At 44.3% G+C, this 27,946-nt stretch overlaps 1 protein-coding gene across 1 annotated transcript, besides 1 other annotated feature; it reads left to right on the forward strand.

Annotated features, from left to right (window-relative positions):
- The first annotated feature begins 4,421 nt into the window (after positions 1 to 4,421).
- On the forward strand, positions 4,422 to 27,637 carry EMP1 (epithelial membrane protein 1). The gene is made up of 5 exons (NM_001423.3): positions 4,422 to 4,568; positions 19,165 to 19,284; positions 21,175 to 21,271; positions 21,377 to 21,517; positions 22,230 to 27,637. Exons 2-5 carry the CDS (start codon positions 19,207 to 19,209, stop codon positions 22,385 to 22,387), a joined length of 474 nt encoding a protein of 157 aa, NP_001414.1. The 5' UTR covers positions 4,422 to 4,568; positions 19,165 to 19,206; the 3' UTR covers positions 22,388 to 27,637.
- Positions 6,462 to 6,962: an enhancer, noted in NCBI's record as "H3K27ac hESC enhancer chr12:13351700-13352200 (GRCh37/hg19 assembly coordinates)". NCBI's record gives its function as "activates a minimal SCP1, AML or CMV promoter by ChIP-STARR-seq in naive H9 embryonic stem cells {active_cell/tissue: H9 hESC(naive)}" and the evidence as "EXISTENCE:reporter gene assay evidence [ECO:0000049][PMID:30033119]".
- Positions 27,638 to 27,946: the final 309 nt, after the last annotated feature.

A 27,946-nucleotide genomic window follows, 5' to 3' on the forward strand; every position in this document is an offset into this window, starting at 1 on the left:
CTAGGAGGATTTTAGAGACTTCTCATTTTGTGAAACTATATTAAAATTACATCTTACTGAGAGGAATTTAAGAAAGTAAGCAATACACGCCTGTAATCCCAGCACTTTGGGAGGCCAAGGCGGGTGGATCACCTGAGGTTGGGAGTTTGAGACCAGCCTGACCAACATGGAGAAACACCATCTCTACTAAAAATACAGAATTAGCCGGGCGTTGTGGTGCATGCCTGTAATCCCAGCTACGCGGGAGGTTGAGGCAGGAGAATCGCTTGAATCTAGGAGGCAGAGGTTGTGGTGAGCTGAAGTCGCACCATTGCACTCCAGCCTGGGCAACAAGGGCAAAACTCCATCACAAAAAAAAAAAAAAAAAAAAGAAAGAAAGAAAGAAAAAGAAAAAGAAAAAGAAAGAAAGCAATAACAGCCAGAAGAAAATGGGCTGGGTGTGGTGGCTCACACCTGTAATCCCAGCACTTTGGGAGACTGAGTTGGGCAGATTATCTGAGCCCAGCTACTCTGGTGGTTGAGGTGGGAGAATTGCTGGAACCTGGGAGGCAGAGGCTTCAGTGAGCCAGGATTGTGCCACTGCATACCATCCTGGGAGACAGAACGAGACTCTGTCTCAAAAACAAAGCAAAACAAAAAATTAGCCAGGTGTGGTGGCACACGCCTGTAGTGCTAGCTACTCAGGAGGCTGAAGTGGGAGGACCGCTTGGGTCCAGGAGGCGGAGATTGCAATAAGTCGAGCTTGCACCACGGCACTCCAGCCTGGGTGACAAAGCGAGACCCCGTCTCAAAAAAACAAACAAAAACAAACAAAAAACCCAAAAAACAACAAAAACACCCCCAAAAACCATAAAGAAAGCCAGAAGAAAGCCTGAGAGAGAAATAGAGAGAGGAGAGTTGGAGAAAGAAAGAAAGGAAAGGGAAGGAATACAACATTTCTGGTAAATTCTCAAATTTCAAAGAGGAGTTGTGAGGAACAAACATTCCTTTGACTTGGGAAGATACTGTGTAACTTTTTCCCCCATTCTATTTACCTTCCAAGCAGTGTGTGCTAATATTAATATTGACATCCCTGTTCATATAATAGCTTTGGGGAACATGTTGCATAGTTTGGGATTCTTTTCGGTTAACTGAGTTTGAACAAAAACAAGTTCAAGCTATTATTAGTTTTCTTTTCTGTGGGCTGTAGGGGCCAGACCTGCCTTAGTAGACTTCTTGTATCAGTCATTAAAAGCCTTCGTTTCATGCATTCATTAAAATGTTTACGCCGGTTCAAACTTGAAAATCTGCCCCAAATGGCAACGTGCCAGAAGTTGATTCTTGTTGCTTCCGAAAAAGGGGAAAATATCCCTTTGCTGGAGTAACATTTGCACTGGGTGAGAGAGACATTCCCTCCCAAGAATATATGGCTTTATTGAGTGAGGTCAAATGAAACTTTGTCCGGTTCTTTGCCCATGCAGAAAATGAATGTGTCTAATTTACCTTCCAAATGGGGGAAATGGGAGCAGAAAGGCAGCTTACTCGACATTGTTTGGAAAGACCATATAAACGCCAGGGGAGCTGTATCTCCAGCCCCATGTGGTTTTAGGCCCTGAACCGTTTACTGTCTGTAGTCTCAAAATTGTCTGCTCATAGCCAAAGGAACACTCAGGCTTAACGAGTTAATCACATCCAGAGGCACAAAAAGCTAGAACTTCAGCCAGAACAGATCCAATTGCTTTCCCAGACTGGATAACTTTGTTTTATAAAATAAGCTCAGTGATATTTCAAGGGTTAATTATAAGTCTTTAGAAATCCTGGACTTGCATTCATCTTTTAAAAATATTTACACAACTTGGCTTTCTATGGCACCACTCTGTGTGTGCATGTGTGCATGTGTGTGTGCGTGCATGTGTTTTTGCATGTGTGCATGGGTGTGTTTTCACAGCTCAATGCATTTAATATTTTCTCTCCAAACCTAGACATCTCCAAAAGCACACAGGAAGGTGAGATTTATCAGACCCATTTGGAAGGTGATGCTGTCTACTCACTTTAAGGTGAAATGGAGGCAGGCAGATGCCTCGCTCACAGCCACTGCCAGGTAGTAGGCGTGGAAACTGGGCCTCCTGCTTTCTGGGTCCTGTTTTGAAGCCCGTCCCTGAGCCCAGCGTCTCTCTTTGTGAAATCCATGGAAATCCAGATAGACTGAAGGATTCCTCTACTCAAGTACTTTAAGAAAAGTTCCTGATTTTTCCCCTTGTTAAGCCCGAGAAGGAGGTGGGAGGGAGAATGCCTCCCCTCTGCTATTCCTTGGCTCCAGGTTTCTCTTTAAGAAATGCAATCAGACCACATACTCCTCAGCATCTGAGAACACTTCCTCTGGAGTCCAGTTCTCCTTTCCAGGCAGCTGAGGGAAGAGAGACTTTAAAACTGGCAGAGGGCATCAGGGGTGAAAGGCAACCCTGAGAGTAGGAAAAGGCCAGGGAGACAGGCCGATTCCAGCAGGGGAGACTGGCCCATCTGGAGCGCCAGCACATGCCTGGGGATTTCCTGGCCTCACCTGCAGACACCCTCCCCTCCCTGAGGGTTGGGATGCTCAGAGATCACAGGGACTCTCAACCCACTGCTGGGAGTGGCCCCTCTCAGACAGGCATTTTTATTATCAAATGAGCAATGAGAGAGGGGAGAGGTGAGGAACTCTATGAGAAACATGCAGTCTTTTATCACGTCATCAGTTTTCAGTGAGAAAATCCAGACCTTCTTACTTTTACAGAGATAGAATTCAGTTCTCAGGGACTTGTGAAGATGCAGCATCATCAAATCATTGTGTGTGTGTGTGTGTGTGTGTGTTGTGTTTTCCTTATCATCCACCTTAGAAAATATTCTCCACATTCCCATGTTAAAATATTTTTTCCTAAAATCCATCCATCCACATGCCAACATCCTAAAGACAGTAATATAGGTTCATTGCAGAGGATTTGGAAAATACAGAATTGTGACCAGAACAAACTAAACTGCATCCATAATTTTATCATCGAATTTGATCAACATTTTGGTGAATAGCCACCAGTCTGTTTTCTATCTTTTTAGGGAATATAAGTTCCAAGAGGCAGGGATGTCATTCACTTCTGTGACTCAGTGCTCTGAATCAGGCCCAGTGAAGACTGACGTGCAGCCTGTATTGGCAGAATGAATGAATAAATACTACACACGCATATTTTGAATTGAAATAAGTTGTCAGGGTGCAGCAGAGAATAACAGAAATAGAATTGCTTGGATGTGCTGACCTAGATCCAAGCTGCTACTGGTAACGTACTGTATCTCCTTGAATAAGTCACTTCACCTCTCTGGGCCTGAGCTGCTTCTTCAGTAAAATAATCCTTGTAGCTAAGATTTGTTGAGCGCTCACTATGCACACTGCCATGAGCCCCTATATGTGTATTTCTCATCATAGCTCTATGAGTTACATACCTGCCATCTCCATTTTATGCATGAGAAAATAGGCATGGAGAAGTTAAGTGGTTTGCCTAAAGTCACACAGCAAATTTGTGGAGAGCTGGGCTTGAACTCAGGCATCTGGGCTTTTACTCTCTCCAGTGGAATGCCTGGGCTGTGGGATGAGATGACTTCACAGGCCTCTCCCAGCTCCAGAGTTGAGAGAGAGAGAGGAGTGGTGCAGGGAGGTAGTAGGGATGATTATGCTACTGGCCAAGTTCAAGAAAGTCAATTGTAGAACAAGGTCCAGCTGATTATTACAGAGAGCAAAGTTCTTAACTAGAGGACTTCCTCCTGGAATGTGGAGAGTCCACACGGGCACTAGCAGAGCATAATGAAAGACCAGGAATTCTCTGCTGTTCAATCAGTGCTCCATCACTCAGAGGCAGGGCTGCAAGAGCTCCTAGTGTGTCCCCTTCGCCTTCAGGGCCTCCCTGTACAGCCACCCACAGGACAGTGCACCAGGGTCAGGCAGGGAAGTAAATAAAAAAAGGAATCTGATAATTCCTGACAGTGAGCAGCAGCTGATGCTTTTAATGGGGGAGGAAGACTGGGAATCTCGCTTGATGATGACCTAGGACTTCAGTCAGCAGGACACTGGCCCCTTTCCTCCCCCTCCCAGGCTGAAACCTTGTGTTTTGCCTTATGTCCATGGTAACCAAGTCTCCTTTTTGGTGAGGAGGAATGGGCTTCAGTAAACAGATCTATTTGTGTGATCCTGTTACTCATTTGAAGCAATGTCCCTCCTTTTTTCCACTGTGGTCTGTGTGTCTGAGTCAGAGAGAGCCTACAACAGGGTTCTTTGAATTGATGGCTCACTCCCAGCCACTCTTGACTGACTGCCAGCTTAGCAGGGCGTAGCTTACCAACAAATCTTTTTTTTTTTTTTAAAGCCAGACTGATTCATAGAAACTCCTTTAAAACACGGTGAAAAGAAACCGCCCATTACACACCCCAGTACACCAGCAGAGGAAACTTATAACCTCGGGAGGCAGGTCCTTCCCCTCAGTGCGGTCACATACTTCCAGAAGAGCGGACCAGGGCTGCTGCCAGCACCTGCCACTCAGAGCGCCTCTGTCGCTGGGACCCTTCAGGTAGGACAGCTCCCAACGCTGTGGGGACTCTCAGCAAAACTTCTCCTTCCTTTCCACGGCTCTGCTTCTTCTGACCTCATCTTAGTTTTGCTTTTTCTTTTCTTCCTTCGCTATTTTTCTATGATCCTCTAAGAACCAAGTCCTTGAAACTTTTGGCTCAAAGTGGATACAGAGACAACTTTTTCTAGAAAGTTCAGAAAAGTGTATTTTGAGGACGGAGTCTGGGGAAATCAATGGGATGGGGCTAAAATCGTGCCTGGCAGTGACCGGGTTCTTGTTCTAGGATGTGGAGGGAGCAGGGACTTTGAAACAAACTGGGATAGGATCCTGTTTATGGAGGAAACACCACACACCTTGGAAATGACATCGGGAACTGGCCAGATGTTTTTCACCTCCTCCGTTTTGATTCCGATTGCTTCAGGACTTGAACTGTTACTCTGCTCGCTGGTTGTTGGTTGGGATTTTTTGGGTGGTGGTGGATAGATAACTGGTTTTCAGTTTATTTTTGACATTGCTTTTCCTGCCTGTTTGCTTCCCTATTCACTTCTGTTTAAATTTAAGTATTTTTTTTCTCCTCACAGGATGGGAAGAGGGGGATTGGTTTGTTTAAAGAAAACTGTTGGCCGGGCACGGTGGCTCATGCCTGTAATCCTAGCACTTTGGGAGGCTGAGGCGGGCGGATCACCTGAGGTCAGGAGTTCAAGACAAGCCTGGCCAACATGGTGAAACCCTGTCTCTACTAAAATACAAAAAGTAGCCAGGCATGATGGCAGGTGCCTGTAATTCTAGCTACTTGGTAGGCTGAGACGGGAGAATTGCTTGAATCCGGGAGATGGTGGTTGCAGTGAACTGAGATTGCGCCACTACACTCCAGCCTGGGCAGCTGAGTGAGACTCTGTCTCAAAAAGGAAAAAAAAGAAAAAGAAAAAAAATGAAAAAAGAAAACTGTTAGAGAGAGAAAGAGAGGGAGGCAAATGGTGTTTTAAATGAAACGTGGGAGGGGTTCACTTGGTCGAAGCAGGAGCTGATGAGGATTCCAGATGCCTTCTCTTGGCCAGATGTGGAGGGCGGGGGAGGCAAAAGGGAAGCTGGGTTTGGAGAAGAGGGTGGGGCAGGAGAACTTCATCTGTGCCTGTTAAAAATTGTTGAGTGGCTTTGTGCTTTCACCCCAGAAAGAGCTGCCTTTCAGTGCTGAGTGAAAAGATGGCATACCAGAAACGATAAAAGAACTTTTAAAAGAAAGTGGATGTGGAATTTCTTTGCATGGAAGGCAGTGATTGTTTTGAAATGCTTATCTTTTCTCTTGTTCCCGAAATGTGATTGTATAAATGCAAACACTCATGCTAATCATGAAATCTGGAGGAATGAAGAAGGGTGCTTTTTCTTTTTTTTCTTTTTTTCTTTTTTTCGGTTAGCATTTTGGGTGAGTGTCTACCGAGGTGTGGCCCATTTCAACATAGACACTGGTATATTTTTTCCCCAAGTAAACAAGATGAGAATGACAGGATTCAGCTTGTCTGACAAAGTTAGGCTTTTCCTTTAGAAAGGCAGTACGTTGGGAGAGAAGTTACATGTAATCAACCCTGTGTTGAGCAGGCAATGCTCCTTGTAAAACTGCCCCAAGGGGGACGATTGAGTAGGCATCAGGGCAACTTTTCAAGATGAAGGGAACTCCTACATTTGCTTCACATGTTTATTATTTCCACATTACATGGATGTGGATTAGCCATTATTAAATCAATAGTGTTAATATCCTGTGAAAATTATACAAATCTTTTAGTTCTGTGCAGGTTAAAACTAATAACCAGTCAACACACGGAAAGCCCTGACAATGTTGGGAGTGTAAACCATCATGAACTGCATTATTTGTGGCAAGGTTTCACATGATACTGTAGGTTTATAAAGGAGAAAATATGCTACATGTTACTTCCTGGAGTTTGAAGACAATTTAGAAAAATACCGTTCTGATTCCTGCTCTCTGCTCTTCCTCCAAGAAGTAGTGAAAGAGTCCCTTAGCTGTGAGAGTTTTTCTGGATTTCAGCTTTGACAATCCCGAAATGTGAGGGTTATTTTTCCCCCCCACTCTGCCCGCTGCCTCCCACCCTCAGGGGCAGATCCAATTCCACCCAGACTCCGAAGAATGGGGCGGGGGCGGGGGCTGCAGGACATCCTGTCTGGCGCCCTGGTCAGAGGGCCCCCCACATTTACATTGTTTGTGGGTACTAAACTGTCTTGGGAGTTGGCAAAAGGCCATCAAGAACCAACTTGGAGCAAATCACATCCTTAGAATCTGGCTATCTCCCAGGACTGCTGGGCAGACCGCTGGGGAAAGGAAAGAGATCCCTTCTGTGGAGAGTGGAAAGGACTCACTGTGCCTTCCTCAGCCCTTCCTGCTTCCTCCAGAGACCAGATTAGGCCCATCAAGTTCCCAGCCTTGTCAGTGGGCTTCATGGAGACCCCTCACCCGGGAATGTAGACCCTCTTGGCTTGCTCTGGGTGGCTCTAGGGATTTCAGGTAGTGCCAGACCCACAGGGACTACTGGAGAGAGACACGTTGAAGACCGGGGAAAACTTGTGGATGAGGCAAGACTGCTTTTCTGTAGACTCTATGGAGCCTGGTGGGGCACATAACTGAAACGTGGACACAGGAAAGGGCAGGAGGCAAGTCAGTTCCATTTCATCCTTCATTTCGTTCACAGAATTCTAAATTTGGGAGGGATCTTGGATCTCATTCATTCTCCTACTGTATGCAGAAATCTAATTTTTACACCATCTTGAACAGATGGCCATCCTACAGATCTTAAAATTTCCAGATGCGGGGAGCTCAGAACCTCAGTGTGTACCTCCACACTCATTCCCCTTAGCAGGCCAACTCTAATTTTATTAAAGTTCCTTAAATCAAGCAAAATCAACTTCCTTATAACTTCCTGATTCTGCTGGCCTGAAACAACTCAGAAAATATCTATTCTGGTTTTGTTGTTGCTCCACCCAATGATTCTCATCCTCTAAACACTTAACGCCTATTTAATATTTAATGAATACAACTTGATGGATCTACATTGCATTATCTTTTCTTCTTCTTCTTCTTCTTCTTTTTTTTTTTTTTTTTGCCTAAGGCTCAGAAGGGCAGGGAGCATTTTTGAAGTTTGGAATTATGTACATAGTCAATCATACTCACGGGGTTTTTGATTTGGAGGTATTTAATTTTCTAAATGCATGAATATGGTTCCTTCTTTAACCTCCCACATGTATGTACATAGCTGCCTAACACAAAAGCTCAGGCCTATTTGGGACTCTCAGATGTACATACTCGGAGGGACACACCCAGTGTTGCTACCTACTAGGTCATGGTTAGATCAATCCAATACCAGGACACAGGCTTCTAGCTAGGCCTTTTGGGGATTGTCCCATAATTTGGTCCATAGTTCATGTAGCCCACACCTATACATTGTCACCACCCATCATAGTAATTACGGGAACAGGCTGCCCATCAAATGTAGCCTCCTTGTAATTGCTGGCCAGCAATCTGGGTATCAGCCCCTTGAGAAGAGCTCCTAACCCTTAACCAGCGTAGAACGGGAATTTTCTCACCATAAGCTTCCCTTTTCTAATACTCTTCCCAGATCCGCCCAGGTGATCTTGAATTTCTGGACTGCACTTGCTATTCAGTAATCAAGGAAGCCCAAATATGGTTCCAGTTAGGGGTTTACTTGAATCTTCAGCACCCAGCCCCGACATACACACGTCCTGAGACTGCTCTTTGCAACAATTCAGTCCCTGGTGTCCTGCCTGGGTAAAACCATTTCCTTCAATTTACCTGGGAGATTCACTGATACTAAAGCAGAAAGATGAAAGCACAAACACCTGTGGTGATTGCTGCTTCTCTCTTCCTTTTTAACAAAATGTTTGGGTCAAGGTTTTCTTTTGTGTTGTGGAGATGGCATTTCCCTGGAACTGCAATGGAATCCTCTGCTGTTGGTGCGCTTGGACTTACGTGGCTGTGACAGTTTTTCTATTTGCTGAGCCTGTTTCATGAATTGTTTCTTCAAACCGGGTAGTTAAACTAGAGAGCCCTTTCAGCACAGGTTGAAAGCGTGGCAAGAATCCTGGAGCAGATGTAAGACAGCTGACTAGGAAGACAGAGGGGCAGTGGTGTTATCTTGACGCTGCCATGTAACCACAGGCGAGACACTTGTCTTCTTGCTTTCGGAAGTTGAACTTGGTGGTTCTTTCAGACCCCTTATGGCTCTGAGATTCTAAGATTCACCCAGGCGTGGTAATCCCAGCTACTTGGGAGACTGAGGTGGGAGGATCACTTGAACCTAGGAGTTTGAGACCAGTCTGGGCAACATAGTGAGACCCTGTCTCTAAAAGAAGAATTTTAAAAAGCAGGGTGTGGTAGTGCATGCCTGTAGTCCCAGCTACTTGGGAAGCTGAGGCAGGAGGATTGATTGAGCCCCAGGGCTTTGAGGCTGTAGTCAGCTATGATTGTACCATTGCACTCCAGCCTGAGCAATGAAACAACACCCTGTCTCAAAAAAAACAAAAACAAAACAAACCAACAAACAAAAACACCAAAAAAACGAAAAACAAAAAAATTAAGATCCTACCATTTCTATTTTGAGATATCCCTTGCGCTGATGCTAGCAGCTGGCTTAATCTGTAAAAATTGATAGAAAAGTGAAATAGGGCAACGTGTGGCATTGAAAAGGGCATTTTGCAGAGGATTCTCGTCTCCTGGGTGCCTTGAGGACCCACGGAGCCTCCTCTGCCCCATCCACTCACAGATTCTTTAGGTATGGTGTTCCCCGGACTTACCCTCAGCCATGAGCATTCACTCGGCACTAGGAATAAAAGAAAGAGGTTTGAGTAATTAAACGTAAAGGGTGCCAGCTCAGATGAGGAGGGCAGGCTGAGTCTGTGAAGACATTGACAACAGCAAAGCATTCACCAGGAACAGAATCAGGCTCAGGGAGAAACTGAGCTGGCTCTGGGAAAGAAACTCCACCCTCTTCTTGAGGAGGGAGACCCTGCAGCATGAAGGTGTGGTGTACAGGTGTGGACAGGAGCAAATGAGGAACAGTTTGAGAGGAGGAAGAGGAAGGTGCAACTAGGACAGGAGGGAGGGAGGGAGGGCAAGTGGGATGCTGTTTCCCAGGCCTGTGTGTTGAGGGAGGAGGCAGGCAGAAAGACCTAGAAGCAGGAGAAAAAGCTAAGTGGATAGAGAAAGACAGAAAGGGGGCAAAAGAGCAAGGGAGAAGTGATGAGGATGTTTCCCCTTCCATCCTTCCACTCTTGTTTGGGGACCACCCACCCTCAATGTTTCAAGGCAGTCCTTCGGTCAAAATTCGATTCTTTGTCCCCTGTGAAGAATCTTTTGTCGCATTGGCTACTTCTTGTTTTTTCAGGATGGTTGACACCTCTTTGGTATCATTTTAGTTTCCACTACATGTGCCCACCAGGCTGGAACCTCTTCAATGTTTCTCCTCTTCCAGGTCAGATCAGAGCTGAGAGCAAAACGGGGTTCTTGATCCTTAGACTTCTCATTTCAAAGAATCAAAGACCCTTCCCCAGGACGCTGGAGAAGGGGAGTTGGACAGAGGTTTGCAACCCTGAAACAACTAGTTTGGGGCAAGGCAGTGTGTTCACATTGATCTCAGAGAAAGCTCTGAAGCTGAGACCTGGAGCTTCCCTTTATTGAAAGATAGTCTCCATGTCTGGGTGGGGTGGGGACTCCTGTGCTGAGGGTTAGAAGGTTGCTCGGAGTTTGCAGGGGGATATTGTTCGGGTCTGTTTTGGCCAGGCAGGCTGGCTCTGCTGGGTGGGACTTCTCAGCAAAACGACAGGGAGAAGCAGTGGCCTCGGAAGACCCTGTGTTTTTATAATTGGCACAGTTTTAAGGGGTATATGCTGACTCTCTGATTAACTCAGAGAGGGTAGGAGGAAAAGAGAGAACAGTAGATCTGGTAGAAGTTCTAGAACTTCCACCAAACCCTAAGCCAAGAGACAGGAGAGAAAAAATCATGCCAGGTGGAAGAGCCCTGCCTGGAAGGTGCGAAATGGCTTCAGTTCTGATTCAATTCCATTTCTCCTTTGGGGACGTGCATTTCCTTCTTATCAAGGGGTTGGACTGAATGACCTCAATGCCTCTCAACCTCTAAAGAACGAATTGAAATGAAGCCCTGAGCCCACCTGATGGGTCTGGGGTGTCTCTAGGCGAGGGGCCTCCCCTCCCAGCTTGCCGCCTTCCAGGAGGCTGCAGCTTTGCTGGTTGAAGCATGTTGCCGCCATCTACTGTTGGTCCCACCCAAGCGCCGCTGGGGCCGGGCCACACCTAGGTTTTCTTCCCAAACCCCTAGTTATTATCTTGGCAACCTCTCCCTTGAAGACATTCTGGCTGCCAGAACACTCGTTTGTCAAAAGCAGAAGGCAACTCACGCTTCCGTCCTCGCCCAGGGAACATCGCCTGATCCCTTGACCAGCTGCAGTCTGGGGGAGTAGGCTGGGCCCCAACTTCACAGCCCAGGTCTGGCCTCAGTCTTTGCAGATGTTGCCCAGATCCACCCCTCCCCTGGACACGAAGGAGGACAAGCGGAAATAAGAGAGAGAGGTTATTCTTCTTGGGAGCATTTGCAAAAACAATATTCATGCCACTTGTTTGCCTTTAGCATAATTGTTGGCCCTCAGGCTCTGCCAGAGAAGCATAAAGCCCATTTCCCCGGCCCGAGCCTCTCATTTTACACAGAGGAAGAGACCAACCAACCAGGAACTGTGTGGCCCCCACTCTGTGCCTGGCACAGGCCTTCAGCCCTCATGCTAATCCTGTGAGGTCTACAGGTCACAGTTCAGACATGGTGGAGCCAGGATTGGAGCTGAGAATCCCTGCTCTGTGCTACTTTGAACTCTGTGCCTGTAGGAGCCACTGACCAGAGAGGTTATGTGATTTTTCTAAAGTCAGAAGTTGGTCAGGGGCAGATTTATTATAAGAATCTGGTTCTCCAATAGGTTCTCTCTCTCTCATACAGTGTGCTTGCCCCACTCCCAACCCACACCTTGGCTCCTCACCCCTGACTATGTGAGACTCTGTGCTAGTCTACACAGCACCAGACCAACACGACTTGCTGTATAATAACCCCCATTTATAATAGCCTGCATTTGGAAGATGAAAAAAATAATTGTTTTCCCTGCAGCATGTAGGTCCCTGTTACTTTTGCTGCTTGATTGACGATGTTTCTCCTGGTTGTAAAAACTGCCCTGTATTTTCCAACATCAAGTCCTACCTGAGGTTCCTTCCTTCCACACCAAACATGAGCTATGCAGAGGCCGGAGGAAATGGCCCCTGAGAATCCTTTTTCTCCCCATGTTTCCCACGGAGAAATTAATCCCCTGCTTTCCCACCCCTGCATAAACACAATATTGAGAATGGAAAAGTACACTTGATATAAAACAACAATAACAGTGGCCAGAGAGGCTCATCCAAGGTCTCATCCACTCAGCCTGCCTTTAATCCCAGTCTTTTCCTCCTCCAGACACATCCTCTCCGGCTGCCCCCAGAAGGGAGTGCTTCCTTTTCTGCTTTTGTGTTACATGCGCATCCATTTTGCCAACCAAATGATCCTTCATGGGAAACAAACACATCAAAACCAAACCAACAAAAGCAAAATGCTCCCGACTTGCGCAGAGGACAGAAAGGCTTTCGTGCCACCCTGCGTGGTGTCTTAGGAAGGAGAGGCAGCTGCGGAGTTTCAGGTGTCACGCTGAGGAAGGTGGTGTGGGGTCGTCTGACTCATGGGGGTCAGTTGACCAGAAGCGGCTACGCCTCTCTCTCTCCTCGTGCTTTGGAGGAAGCACCACGTCTTTGGTCAGATGCTGTGAGAAAGCTTTCTCCAAAGTTTACAGTTATCCAGAAAGAGATCAGAATCTCACTGTCAGAAAAACACTGGCCAGCAAAAAGACAGGGAGTGTCTAGCAGTAATCTCAGGACTGTGTTATGACTTGACTGAGATTTTGAGATCTAAGGTGAAGGCCTCTGGTGAATCTTCTGATAACCTGGTAGTTCTGCTGTGAAGACAACCATGCTAGAAAGAGGAAGAATTAGTCTAGTCAGGTAATCTCACCGGCAGAATTAAAAGTCATGGTGGTCGTTGCAAAGAGCACACTCGGACGTATTGTCAGAAAAATCTTTCTAATCGGGGAAGGGATCCTGGTAGGTAGTGAGCTCTCCATGACTGGAGGAGGTTAAGCATGATTCAGATAGTTCTTTGGTCAGATTTGTAGATGACTTTCTTGAATTGAAAAGGAATTTTAAAGACCTCCCTCTTCAGTCCTGAGATTCTATAATTCAAAGAAGTAGAGAGAAAGATTAAATCTGCAGACAAACTAGTGTTTAGAAATTTAAGACATTTTCTTTGCATTCACTTATTTCCTCTTGAACAAAAGGCAACACACACATATATACCCTTGTATATTCAAATGCACTCAGGAAACAGTCACATATTTACATAGGTATTTATATAGAAATATATAACAAAGTTTGCATACAATAAGATGCTCAATACATAGTTGTAGTAAAGTATTAAGCAATTTCTGAAAAATAATAAAGGACTAAAGTCTATGTATGTTAAAAAAAAAAGGAAATATTTTCCCTCTATAATTCTGTGTTTATTATGAAGTCTTCAGTCATTTTGACATTGATTATTTTTCCATGGGGAAGAAAATATGGCCATCCTTAATTCATTTATTTGTTCATTGAACAGATATTTATTTGGTACCTGTCACAGGCAAGACTCTCCCTTCAGGGACTTAAAATCTTAGGGCTGTCATCAGTGGTTTTAATAAAAAGCTATGTGAGGGCAATAGAAGAAGAGAGAAAAGAAAACTGCTCCTAACCTATGGATCTGGGAAGGCTTTTTAGAAGAGGTAGGATTTTAGCTTGGTTGAAAAGAATTTGATAGACTGTCACTGAAAGAAGAATACAAAAGCAGAGCTTTTATTTTTGGAAATCCAAGTCCTGGGATTGCAAGGGCTGGCTTGAGGTGCGTGGAGCCTCTTTCCTGCTGATTGGTGGTGGTTAGAGGTGGGGGTTTGGAGGTTCTTGAGCAGGGGAGTGCCATGGTCAGATAACCCAGTAGCAGGGTAGAAGATATGTTAGAGGGGAGTTGTTCAGAGACAGGGTCATGGGTGAGGCTGATGCCATGGTCAGGCTAGGACCTGAACTGGACAGTAGCAATGGGAATAGAACATAAGGAAGGATGTGAGATAAGTAATGGAGGTAGAAACTCAGGGTAGGACTGTGATGTTTTGGGCAACAAAAGTGGAATGAGGGGAAGGGAAGATAGGACATTTGGCAGTGGTCATTACTGCTCTTTTCTCCCCAGAAAAATCCTGGCCTTTCTTAAGCTGCCAGGGAAATGCCAGCCAGATCCATACCCTGCTTCTCAGAAAGCTCTCTCGTGCCCTTTTGTAGAGAAGGTCTCCATGATGCCTTTCATTCTGGGAGAATCTCACCCACTCTCAAATGAATCATGGAAATTTGAGCCCTGAGGGCCTCCCCCAGTGTTTGCATCGTCTTCAGCTCCTGATTTCTGAGCATGCTCCCCTCCCACCCCTCAGCTAGGGCTAATTCTTCAGTGACTCAAGCCCCAGGATTTTGACCACTTCCTTCACTGGGGAAGTGGGTTTTTGGTTGCTCTATTCTATTGTGTTGCTCCCAGTTATTGTGTTTTAGGTCACTCTTAAAGAATTGCTGCTGCCGCCAGGCCCCATGGCAGTTCAGTGAACACACAGACTTCTGGACAGGAAGAAGTTATCTGACTCCTAGGTTAGCAATCAGGGAACCAAATTATGCACCTCTAAACTTCCCTTCTGGTCCTTAGAAGTCAATTCTTCTCAAAGTCTCTGCAGATTTAGTTACCCACCAGAAAAGGAAAGGCTCCCATGGGGGCCTGAGTAATTTCTCACTGGTCAGAGAACCCTAAAAGTGTTAGGCTGCCTGAACAAAGGCAACAAGGCAATGCATGGCAGTCTCAGGGCTGTGTTCCTTTGATTCTTTCATTTGTGTGTGTGTGTGTGTGTGTGTGTGTGTGTGTGTGGTGTGTAAGAGGGAGGCAAGAAGCCAATAAAGATTTAAATGGATGGAGATAACTTGAGAGGTTTGGTTATCCCTCTTTCCCTTCCCTCATGTCTCATATTAGTTAGTCCTTTAGAGCTATAGTCACGAGCAATTTTAATCCTCAGGGTTCTATTTTATTTTATTTTGAGACGGAGTCTTGCTCTGTTGCCCAGGCTGGAGTGCAATGGAGCGATCTTGGCTTTTTGCAACCTCCGCCTCCCTGGTTCAAGTGATTCTCCTGCCTCAGCCTCCCCAGTAGCTGGGACTACAGGTGTGCACCACCACGCCCGGCTAATTTCTTGTATTTTTAATTGATACTAGGTTTCACCACGTTAGCCAGGATGATCTCGAACTCCCTCAGGGTTATTTCTACTGACTATATTAGCTATTCTGTTAGCTAAGAACTTTATCTGAATACTGAATGGTCAGTGTTTGTGAGGTTTGCATTAGAGCTAGGAGCACAAAGACACCTCTGCTCTAGTGTGGTCTGGGCAATGCAGAAAGAAAAGGAGGAACAGTGATCAGAAACAAAAGATGGTGGTCAGAGGTAGGGAACTGCAAGCCTGTCCGTTAGGGCAGAAAGAAGAACAGAAAAGGGATATCAGAGACCTGTGTGTGGCTCCGAGGTGCTGATCTCCATTTCTCTTAATAATACTTCTCTCCAGAGTCAACATACATGGGTCCTATACCTTCCTCAGTTTCCCACCCAGCCCCTAACTGCCCCTGTGCCATGTATGTTAGGTAGATGAGGCTTAAGAAGGAGATCATCCTCCACTCACAGTGGTGGGTACAGAAATGTGTTCCTGGCATCCACATAGAAGTCAGTGGACGGCCTGTTCTTTAAAAATGCAATGAATTGATAAGCTCTGCTGGCCTAGGTCTGGGAGTCTAAGCACCACAAATGAACGCTGTTATGAGCGTTCCCCTACAACTTTGGAACTGCTCAGTGCACCAAATGCTCTGCAAAAAGCGGGTCTTGCTTCAAAGTATTCAGAATTGCAATGCTGTGATTCTCTGCATCTTGGTTTGCGCTGCCTCACTAGGACTAGGGGTATGCTTTCCACTGGAGAGTGCCACCCATATCATTTTAGAGAGGGCTGAGGGAGAAGTCTACTATTGTTTTAGTGAAACACACTGCTAAGAAATAAGTAGTAGCCACCAATACTTCCAATGGTATAAATTCTCATAAATGGTATTTTTTTCAGTGCCTTTGTATGAAGCAAGATTCACAATGGGGCAGAGAATGAATCTCCCCACAAGCTACCTTGCAAGTAATGGGTGGGTGGAAGTTTCAGGAGCAGGGGTTCTTCTGTTTATTATACTCTGCTATTTGATAAATGCCCAGACATTTACCCATTAGTTACCACTAATGGCTTTTTCATAAAGACCTCAGTGATCGCCTCCTCCCAGACTGAGGGTTTCCCTGGGGGCAGGAGGTATCTAGCACAGTGTAAAGACTGGGTAACTAGGGATGATTCAGCCCAGAAACTCAAGAAGATAACTCATTCTGTTTTCACCTGTGTTGGGGGGAAGGCCATTGAAAATAATGGAAGCCCCTCTAAACTGACAGTGAATGATATTAGTAAAACCTGACAAATAATGGGCCAGTGAAAAGATGGAGAAGTTGTAGCTTAAGCTAAACAGCCCCTCCTTCTGGCTGGATACAGCAGCTAAAAACAGAGAGAACTGTGTGTTTTGCACAAGACCGCTTGCTAACTCAAGACATTTTGCTTCTTTCCGTGGTGAAAAGACAGGGAGGGCACCATCACAAAAATCTAAGATGAAAGAGAGTCGCTCTTTTGCTTGATTCTCACATCCATTCTTCCAGCCTGCAATGGGCAGGGCATATGGTCAGGTGGATCCAGGGGCCAGGCACTCGCACACACCACCAGGGCTGTGATGCATGGGCCCAGGTAGAGGTGCCGTGGGAGGGGTCATTGAGACAGAGAGTGTGAGCTGGGCAGAGGAAATCAGACTTGACTTTAGGGGTTACAGAGCAACCCAAGGAGACAAAATGCTGCTGAATTCCCAACAGCCTATCAGGGAGGGAATGTTTTCTGTGACTCATTTAAGTGGCCTCACTTGGTGGATTATATTCTGTCATTGGCCCCTCCAGCCCTTCCCCCTTTTAAGAAGAGGATGTTTGTAAATTAGAAGCAACAGGAACAAGAAAGTCATTTGAAGAGCCCGAGGAGGATTAAACATAAGTATTCGTTATGTAATATTTGTAATTCCCTGCAATCAGCCTGTTCCTTTCCCCATAGGGGGCAAGGAGATCAGGATCTGGTGAGGTGTGAATCTTGGGAGGTATGAGGAAGTTGGGCTGAGAAAGTGAACTTTCTCCTGGTCTTTCCTGAGGGTGTGCTCTTAGAGGTCTCCCCCCTTAAGGGGCAAGGGTTAGACAAATGACAATTTCTAAGAGGACCGAAAGGATTGTATACACCCTGCCTCGTGAACTAGACAGCAGATATCTTATTACTTGCACTTAACATGGGGCAGCCTAGCGATTGAGTAACTGGGTTGGGTTGGCAACAGCTACCCGGCTTCACTTATGAATAATAGTAATAATAATAACCGCAGCTAAAGCAACCCCATTATTAGTAGCTGCCATGTGTCAGACACTAGGTGTTTTACATAAACAATCTGAATTCATCCTCACATTTCCCTTTGCAATTGACATTGCGACTTCCACTTTCTAAATGAGGAAACAGATGAGCGGTCAAATAACTGGATATGATTCTAATTCATCCTCTGTCTGATTCAAAAATCTCTTTTTACTGTGCATTTAAGTCAAGCAGAAAATTGGGGAGGTGTGCTAGAACCTGAGAAAAGCAAAAATGAATTTGAATGTGTGGGGGGATTACTAATAGCAGACATGAAAGCTCCAACCTCTCCCCTGAAGAGGCAGGATAAACGTCATAATTTTTGCATTCACAGTTAAGTTGGACACATTCCTAAAAAACAGCCTGGGTTGGAAGGAAGTGGCCAGATTGGGAAGGGGCTGTTGGAGACGGTCAGGGAGAATGGTGGAAGCCATTGTCTGCCTCTCATTCCTTGCTTGCAGAGAGCAAGGCACCCTGATGTATATTAGATCACTCTAGATTTTTGGTTGCCTGATAAAGACAGTGAGAGGAGATAAAAGGCATGTGAAGTGTTGGAATTATAGTATCAGTGCTCTCTAATAAATACCTGATGTGGCATGAAAGTGCCTCAAGCACATTCAAAGCATCAATTAAATTAGGTGGAGTGAGAGAGGGCAGTGGAACAATTGCAGGATGCGCCTGGCCATCTCCTCCCTTGGTTGGGGCATCCACACATCCATTCTGTCTAGGGTGTGAATAACCTCAAGCCCTTTCCTTTTGATGTCCCTCTGAGCCTGCACTGCTTTGTGACAGTCTTAGGCATGACAAAGCTCTCCTTCTGTAGCTGACATAAATCAGAATAGCCTCCCCCATGTGTATCCTTCACACTTCCTTTATTTCCTAGGCTTTATGATCAATGGGCTCCCTTCTCTGCTGTGATTATGGCTGAAAGCTTTTGTTTATCCATGCACATTCTTAATCGATATTAGTTCCCAATCCTCCCACCCTGTGATTTATGCATTTGCCTGTCTTCTGTATTGAGTCCTGAAGGATTGGAATTTGTGTAAATGTCATGTACAAGGAGAAGGCACATTTGGTGCTATCTCAAGTTGCATTACTTTTAAAGCCCCCAGAACCATCACATTGAGCTGTGGAAAATATGACTCTCTGCCCAGACCAATGGCAGGCTTCCTGCCATGAGGCACACAGAGCCCAAAGGCTCAGGTGTAGTAATACTAGTCTGAAATGCTCAGTCACAGGGTGACCAGACCATTAAACTGTAATTAGGTTGTTATAATTATTGAAAACCAAACAGCATTATAATAATAGAATTGTGCCTCTCACATTTTATATCTCGCCCAGGATCATATTAGTAGCCTATTCAGTATATGGGCATTGAGTAATAGCTGCTATTCTTCAGAAGGCATTTACTTCTATTAAAAGTGCTGGGTGAGCAATTTGATGAAAGCATGGACATTTTCCTAGTGGAAAATGGACATTTATATGACATTGTTCAGAGACCTGGAAATTATAAAGGCCTACTTCTTTGAAAATCAAAGTCCTATTTTTAACCTCTAAAACACAAACAAAATAAAATACGAACAGTTATCATAAAATGTTCTTGTTCCTTTTTTGAAATAGAATGTATTAGAGAAATGAATATGTAAATACCCAAGAAGAAACCAAATTCTGTTTCCATGTAGGTATGTATAACTGGATGAATAGGCACTTAGGCAAATCAGAACTAGGTTACAGGGGTGTTTTCAGGAATTTATGATTAGATTGTGATGGTTTTTAGTGCAGCTCTTCCTCATGTTAGCAGATAGCCCACACGTGTGGGAAAGCTGAGTCGTCTTATTGAATCTGACAGTAACCGTTTTTGTCCCTTTCTTTTTCTTTTCAGAACTCTCTTTGCTCACAAGTTACCAAAAAAAAAAGAGCCAACATGTTGGTATTGCTGGCTGGTATCTTTGTGGTCCACATCGCTACTGTTATTATGCTATTTGTTAGCACCATTGCCAATGTGAGTAATGTTCTTTTGTTCATTCATTCATTGAGAAATCATTCGAATATTTACATCAAGTGCACAAAAGAAGTTTAAGCCACAGCCCTTGCCCTTCATGAACTTACAGCTCAGTTGTGGGAAAACAAAATAAACACACGCTTGCCCTTCAAACAATTAAATAACAGGAGGATAAAAGTGAATGTCCACAGGAGTAATCCTGCCAGAGCTGTAGGTGGTTAAGGGCTGGAGGATCTAGTGCAGCTTCTTCGGTCTCTAGAAGAGCCTTCCCAGCAGCAGGGGTGAGTGGAGCTTGAGGTGAACCTGGAGGAGTGGTAGATGGCTGAGGTTTCTCTTAGTGAAAGAGGGAAGGTGGAAGGATCATAGGGATGCATTCAGGTGGGAGTGCTAGCAAAGGAGCATATGTAGGAAGGACAAGCTTTGGTCAGAGGATAAGGAGGACACACACCTATGTGGCTGGAGCCGAACTTCCCCTCCTTCTGAGAAGCTTGATTAGAAGGATAGATGGGAAGAAGAGGATGCCAGACTGACAAATTCAAATTTTGAGCAAAGAGTAGCATGTGAAAGTGGAGTTTTGCAAGATTAACCCAGTGCCACTGAATTAACTAACTCAGACAAAACGAGAAAAAAAAAATGGAGGTAGTGTCTTTTCTCTCTGAACCCTGGGCTACTCTGACCTCTAGTGGTGGCTTACAGCGCCCAATTTGCTTTTACTTGTGCTTTTCTCAGAAAAAAGCCAGCTCCTTGGACCTAAAAACCAAGGCCACCAATCACTAGGCAGGCAAACCATGGTTTCAGAATCTGTTTAGGTCCCTATCACAGTTAAAGTATAAGTGAGTTTTAAAGTTCAGATAGAAGAGCTTTGCAAACATTAGTGGGTGTGATCATAAGCAAGGCTAATTAAGAATAACTGTGATAAGACAACCCCCGCCCACGTGACCTCCTTGTTTTGTAATTTAGCCATTCTATATGTCAACTCCTATATCTATCCAGATAAATCTGATAAGCTTCTTCAAAGTGTATTAATGAGCGCCAAAGCGCTGCGTATCTGTGAATTACCAGCCCCTAATATAAGGCTAGGCACACAGTTGTTTATTGAATGAAGAGCAGGGATTGGCGTAGGTGATGCATGTTCCCGGCCCCACCTTTCCAGTGTGTGCATTTGTGTGTGTGTAGACAGGACACTGCACTTGTTTTCTCTTCCAGAAGGATAATTCCTTTTCTTGGGCCAGGCAGGAAGGGATGGCGGCACCATGATCAGTCTGGGGGAATCCATTCAGGTCACCCTTCAGCTTTTAGTAGCCCCTACAGGAAAGCACTTGCTGTAGTATTTTACTATCAAATTACTTTGCATGTTGTGACAGTCAAGTTTGATCCTTCTGTTTAGATGAAAGTGGCTTATTAACCACTAGATTCATTGTTATTTTCCCAGTAGGTCTTATGTTTCTTAATTGTTTCCAGTTGGACATTTCACTTTTTTCCTGGTTAACCAGGGACTTAAATGAAACAATCTTGTTAGAGTATATGAACTGCACATACCTAAGCCAGTTTCCTCATCCTGGACTTCTGTTTCTCAGAACCTTAGAATTTTAAACCACTGTGGTTGAGTTACTTCCATTTTTGTTAAGTCGTGAAGAATGTGGAGCCCAAAGAGGGCTAGGTGATTTCTTTCTGGGTTTCACATTCTTCTGTGTCTCTTCTCTTGGCAACTTTGTGAACTTCAGTTTTAATCGGACCTTATTTCCGCCCACAGATAAGCTGCATAGCCATAGTTATAGCTAAATAGAATGTCTTTATTAAAATCTGATCCCGATGCAAGCTGATTTGTTATTTTATTTTTAAATCAGAGGGCCAGCTTTCAATTAACATTTTCTTTCCTTCTGGTTTCAGGTCTGGTTGGTTTCCAATACGGTAGATGCATCAGTAGGTCTTTGGAAAAACTGTACCAACATTAGCTGCAGTGACAGCCTGTCATATGCCAGTGAAGGTATATATAAAGATATTGACCCAGTGCTGACAATAGGTGTGGTCAGGGAATGTTCAGCCCCTGGAGTGACCTCATGCCCTTGTTCTCCTCGTCCTGTGTCTACAGATGCCCTCAAGACAGTGCAGGCCTTCATGATTCTCTCTATCATCTTCTGTGTCATTGCCCTCCTGGTCTTCGTGTTCCAGCTCTTCACCATGGAGAAGGGAAACCGGTTCTTCCTCTCAGGGGCCACCACACTGGTGTGCTGTGAGTATCTCATGGGTAGACTCCAGTTTACACTTTTAAGTCCATCTTACCATGGGTGTTTCTGGCAACTTGAACAGATTAGCACATGGTTCAGTGAAACTTCCTTGTGCAATTTTCTCCTCTGGTTATTTGTTCTCTTGTGGAGAACCTTGGATTGCTGCTTAGGTTAAGAACCCTCATCTGCTTCATTGTTCAAAACCAGTGCTCCTGGGTAGCTACCAAGTGGCAGTGCATATCTGTTAGTAGCACGTGTGTACAAGACACTTCAAGAAGGCAGAAAGGTAGGAGTTCTCAGAAAGATGAAACCACTGCCACAATGCACATCATTATTGTGATTCTCACTTAATTGTTGTTCTTTCCCAATATACTCGGTTTGGTGGAAGGACATGCTCTTTTGCATCCCTGAGTAGCTTTCCTAGACCCACAAGGGCCAGACAGGACAGCTGGGTGGTAGGCATGAGGTTCTGTGTTTTACATCACAGCGTGGCCACACAAACCAGTGCAGACATGAGAGCCCAGACACCTCTAATTTATCAACATACCGTCGAGCTTGGCCCAGGGGACATCCATCAGAACTCCTGTTTAGGGACAAACAAGCAGAATTCATTTTCCTATTGCTAATGAGGGAAATAGGATCTTCTTAAAATTAGTAAAACTTTTTCTCGACTTTAATGTAAGAAAACACACCGACAAATCTCCTTTTCCCCTGCAGGGCTGTGCATTCTTGTGGGGGTGTCCATCTACACTAGTCATTATGCGAATCGTGATGGAACGCAGTATCACCACGGCTATTCCTACATCCTGGGCTGGATCTGCTTCTGCTTCAGCTTCATCATCGGCGTTCTCTATCTGGTCCTGAGAAAGAAATAAGGCCGGACGAGTTCATGGGGATCTGGGGGGTGGGGAGGAGGAAGCCGTTGAATCTGGGAGGGAAGTGGAGGTTGCTGTACAGGAAAAACCGAGATAGGGGAGGGGGGAGGGGGAAGCAAAGGGGGGAGGTCAAATCCCAAACCATTACTGAGGGGATTCTCTACTGCCAAGCCCCTGCCCTGGGGAGAAAGTAGTTGGCTAGTACTTTGATGCTCCCTTGATGGGGTCCAGAGAGCCTCCCTGCAGCCACCAGACTTGGCCTCCAGCTGTTCTTAGTGACACACACTGTCTGGGGCCCCATCAGCTGCCACAACACCAGCCCCACTTCTGGGTCATGCACTGAGGTCCACAGACCTACTGCACTGAGTTAAAATAGCGGTACAAGTTCTGGCAAGAGCAGATACTGTCTTTGTGCTGAATACGCTAAGCCTGGAAGCCATCCTGCCCTTCTGACCCAAAGCAAAACATCACATTCCAGTCTGAAGTGCCTACTGGGGGGCTTTGGCCTGTGAGCCATTGTCCCTCTTTGGAACAGATATTTAGCTCTGTGGAATTCAGTGACAAAATGGGAGGAGGAAAGAGAGTTTGTAAGGTCATGCTGGTGGGTTAGCTAAACCAAGAAGGAGACCTTTTCACAATGGAAAACCTGGGGGATGGTCAGAGCCCAGTCGAGACCTCACACACGGCTGTCCCTCATGGAGACCTCATGCCATGGTCTTTGCTAGGCCTCTTGCTGAAAGCCAAGGCAGCTCTTCTGGAGTTTCTCTAAAGTCACTAGTGAACAATTCGGTGGTAAAAGTACCACACAAACTATGGGATCCAAGGGGCAGTCTTGCAACAGTGCCATGTTAGGGTTATGTTTTTAGGATTCCCCTCAATGCAGTCAGTGTTTCTTTTAAGTATACAACAGGAGAGAGATGGACATGGCTCATTGTAGCACAATCCTATTACTCTTCCTCTAACATTTTTGAGGAAGTTTTGTCTAATTATCAATATTGAGGATCAGGGCTCCTAGGCTCAGTGGTAGCTCTGGCTTAGACACCACCTGGAGTGATCACCTCTTGGGGACCCTGCCTATCCCACTTCACAGGTGAGGCATGGCAATTCTGGAAGCTGATTAAAACACACATAAACCAAAACCAAACAACAGGCCCTTGGGTGAAAGGTGCTATATAATTGTGAAGTATTAAGCCTACCGTATTTCAGCCATGATAAGAACAGAGTGCCTGCATTCCCAGGAAAATACGAAAATCCCATGAGATAAATAAAAATATAGGTGATGGGCAGATCTTTTCTTTAAAATAAAAAAGCAAAAACTCTTGTGGTACCTAGTCAGATGGTAGACGAGCTGTCTGCTGCCGCAGGAGCACCTCTATACAGGACTTAGAAGTAGTATGTTATTCCTGGTTAAGCAGGCATTGCTTTGCCCTGGAGCAGCTATTTTAAGCCATCTCAGATTCTGTCTAAAGGGGTTTTTTGGGAAGACGTTTTCTTTATCGCCCTGAGAAGATCTACCCCAGGGAGAATCTGAGACATCTTGCCTACTTTTCTTTATTAGCTTTCTCCTCATCCATTTCTTTTATACCTTTCCTTTTTGGGGAGTTGTTATGCCATGATTTTTGGTATTTATGTAAAAGGATTATTACTAATTCTATTTCTCTATGTTTATTCTAGTTAAGGAAATGTTGAGGGCAAGCCACCAAATTACCTAGGCTGAGGTTAGAGAGATTGGCCAGCAAAAACTGTGGGAAGATGAACTTTGTCATTATGATTTCATTATCACATGATTATAGAAGGCTGTCTTAGTGCAAAAAACATACTTACATTTCAGACATATCCAAAGGGAATACTCACATTTTGTTAAGAAGTTGAACTATGACTGGAGTAAACCATGTATTCCCTTATCTTTTACTTTTTTTCTGTGACATTTATGTCTCATGTAATTTGCATTACTCTGGTGGATTGTTCTAGTACTGTATTGGGCTTCTTCGTTAATAGATTATTTCATATACTATAATTGTAAATATTTTGATACAAATGTTTATAACTCTAGGGATATAAAAACAGATTCTGATTCCCTTCATTGTGTGAATGTTTTTTTCTAAAAAAAATGTGGAGAAATATGGATAATTATGACATTTATCCCTCATTAAGCTGCCTATCAGTTTGATTTGGACAACTTGACATTTATTTGAGACATTAAGCTACTTTCTGGTAATATATTAGGCATTTCTGCAATAGCTCTTTCAGGTAACTGAATATTATTAAGCATAGTTTTATCTTGCTTTGATTAAACCTCTTAGGCAAAAAATGGAACTTCATAAGCTAATACATTAGAAAGGGGTTATGATTATAAATCAGAAATGCTTGTGACATTAAGAAATGAGGCACTTGTGAAATTTCTTTGAAATAGCCAGCTCCTCTAATGTGTCTTCAAAATATAAAGTGATTCACAAAGGCATGCATCACACCTATTTGTAGCAGCCCATTCATTACATAAACCAGGGCATACCTGTGTGGGCTCTGTGAGTGAAGGGAGGCTTCACTACTTTCTGTGAGCAGTAAGGACTGGTATCTTTCTGTGAGCAATAAGGACTGGATAAAGACTGCATATCCTTGTGTCGTGTCAGCACCAATACAATAAGGAGGGTTTTAATGTGAAGCAGGCAATCTTCCAGCCCCTTCTGGTCTTGGATGAAATAGTTGCACAGAGTATTGCACCAAAAATACACAATGGAGGCTGAAAAGTTCAACATATTTTAAGTCAATTAATCAAATTGCATTGATTCTTGATGCTTTCTTAGAGGCCTACATGATTTCTTAGATTGCTCTGATAAACTATCATAAGGGGTCCACCTCCCCTCATTTAGCTCCCCCAGGGATTTCTTTTCCCCCATGTCATACACCCAGTCCTAAATCAACCCCCAAGGCTATCCTTCCATCCCTTCTGCAGAGGGAACTTTTGTCAGACTCTGCAACAAACTCCTAGCTCTATCCAGAGTGTCCTCTGCTGCTAAGATTGGTATCTTTCTCCTCAAAAGCCTGGATGGTGAATGGGGGTGCATTAGTCAGAATTCTCCAGAGAAACAGAAAAAATAAGATTCGCGTGTGTGTGCAAACATATATATAAATAAATAAAAATATATTTATTTTAAGGAATTGACTCACATGATTTTGAAGGCAGGCAAGCCCAAAGTCTGCAAGGGGTGGGCCAGCAGAGAGCTGGTGCTACAGTGCGGGTCTGAAAGTTGCCAGAGTCCCTTTTATAGAGAAGCTTAAAAAATATTTGTTGAATTAAATGTCTTAGGTAGAGACAAATTGAATTAAAGTGGTTAAGTAAATACTCTTAGGTGAAATTTGTGCAAATTATGAGTATAAAGAGGGTGAGCTACAGAACTCTCCATGACCACTCAAGAATGGGACCCAAAGGCAAATGATAACTTATTCATTCATCAAGGGATAAACTTGAGTTATCAAATGGTTAATAGATAAAGATCCCACTCTGCCTTGGATTTAGCCATCGCAGTCCCTGTGTAAAACCCCACCGGCTTTCAGGCATGGAAAAAAATTTCACAAAGGCCTTGAAAGAAGGCATATGAAGACCAAAAGGATATTGAGCAGGGTTCCATACTTGAATAAAGGAAGAAACTCCCTTCAATGTTTACTAAGAAATAGTTAGAATATAGCATATCCTGTATAGATGAAATGTCCTAGCGAAAATGTTTAAATGTATTTAAAGAAGAGCTAGATTTTGTGGGGGGAGAGAAGGGAATAGGATAGGCTGGTGGGAGGAAGAATGAAAAGAAGAAAACTTGTTGGAAATTTTGGAGTAGATTGTGAGGAGGGGTGACTCACTTTAAAGATGTATCATTTGGAGGTAGACACGATTTTCAGAGCACAAAACAGATAAGGAAAGATGTATGCTGATTGTGTGGAGCCCAAGGGAAGGCGGGGTTTTGGAGTCTTACGTGGCTTTGTTTCTGAAAGGGAGACATGTGAAGCCTACTCCTGAGGCGGGAGGCTGGGGACATGACCATCAAGACCTATAATTGATAAACAACTAGGGGCTGGGTGCTGCACCTACATGCTGGGGAAATAGAAAATGAAGCAGACATGTGTCCCATCTTCTTCCAGCTTTCAGTCTAGCTTGGAAATAAATCTCATACCTAGAGAAAATGGAGGATCTGTGGGATGTAGATGAGGTGGGAGCATGAATGCCTAGGGAGGGAAGAAGAAAGATTTTCAGTTCTTCAGCTTTTCCTCATGACCCTATCTCATGCCATGAGCAATTGTCTGGCATCTCCTGTGGGTTGGACCACTGCTGCATTTCTTACTTGCCAACATCACTTTGTCCCAAATGCCATTCCTTTGTTCCAGGGCCTCCTTGTCTTCCATCTGGGGAACTGGAGGTGAGAAGCATTATAATAGCCTCTCTGCCTTTATCTACAATCTCTCCAACCTGTGCTTTATGCTGATGTCAGGATGGGCGTTGATGGATGCTTCTATCACTGTCGGGGCAGGGAGGGCCAGAACACTAGCATAAGATGTCAATATGTCTATCCATATGTCAGGTCCATACTCAACTCAAGCTTCTGGTTAACTGCTGATCTATTGGCAACTCCAGTTCCCAATAAGTTCCTCATCTCCTTCTGAGACCACCTCAGTGTGGACTTAATCGTCCACATCACTGTCAGCATTTTGGTTAAAACCATTCAACAAGTCTCCAGGAAGCTCCAAACTTTCCTTCATCTTCCTGTCTTCTTCTGAGCCCTCCAAACTCTTCCAACCTCTACCCGTTACCCAGTTCCAAAGGTGCTTCCACACTTTCAAGTATCTTTATAGCAATGCCCCACTCCTGGTACCAAATTCCTGTATTAGTCTGTTTTCACACTGCTATGAAGACATACTTGAGACTCGGTAATTTATATAGAAAAGAGGTTTAATTGACAAAAAAGCTAACAAAGTGAGCCCTGATTCAAAAATGACTGTCTACACTTGGCACATGAGGGACTTTATGATATTAAGAGATTAATTAAACAACAGTGGATGGGGAGGAAGAACAGACTTTTGAGCTCTTCCCAATATAGGAATGTGTTAGTTCTAAAAATTTTCTTAAGTTGTTTGCTTGGAACTCAGAGTATATTTTTCCATACGAAAAATTCAGAACTATTTTATTTATGATATGGGCTAAAAAGACTTCTGTAATCTAGCTTGGAAACTTAATAATCATTAAACTTATTTTCAATGAGATACGACTGTTTAAATTCTGAAACCTGGAACCCTCTGTTGCCCTGCAAATGCTTTAGGAAAAGAAGAGTGTGTCTGATGGAGGATAAGATGGAAAGTGAATATGGATCCATATTCAGAAGACACGGTTGCATTACAGCAAAGGAACAGCTTTTTGCTGGCCATGCTAAGCATTTGACATTGATGTGGGAGAACATGGCATTCAGTATGACTCTGTCTGGATATATATAGTTTTGTAAATTGGGTGTTCTTAAGTTGAGACTGCATGTTTCATTCCAAAATCAATCTTAGTTTTCCCACTTGCATTAGCAT

The sequence above is a fragment of the Homo sapiens genome, chromosome 12 (assembly GCF_000001405.40).
Source record: "Homo sapiens chromosome 12, GRCh38.p14 Primary Assembly".
NCBI classification, from domain to species: domain Eukaryota; kingdom Metazoa; phylum Chordata; class Mammalia; order Primates; family Hominidae; genus Homo; species Homo sapiens.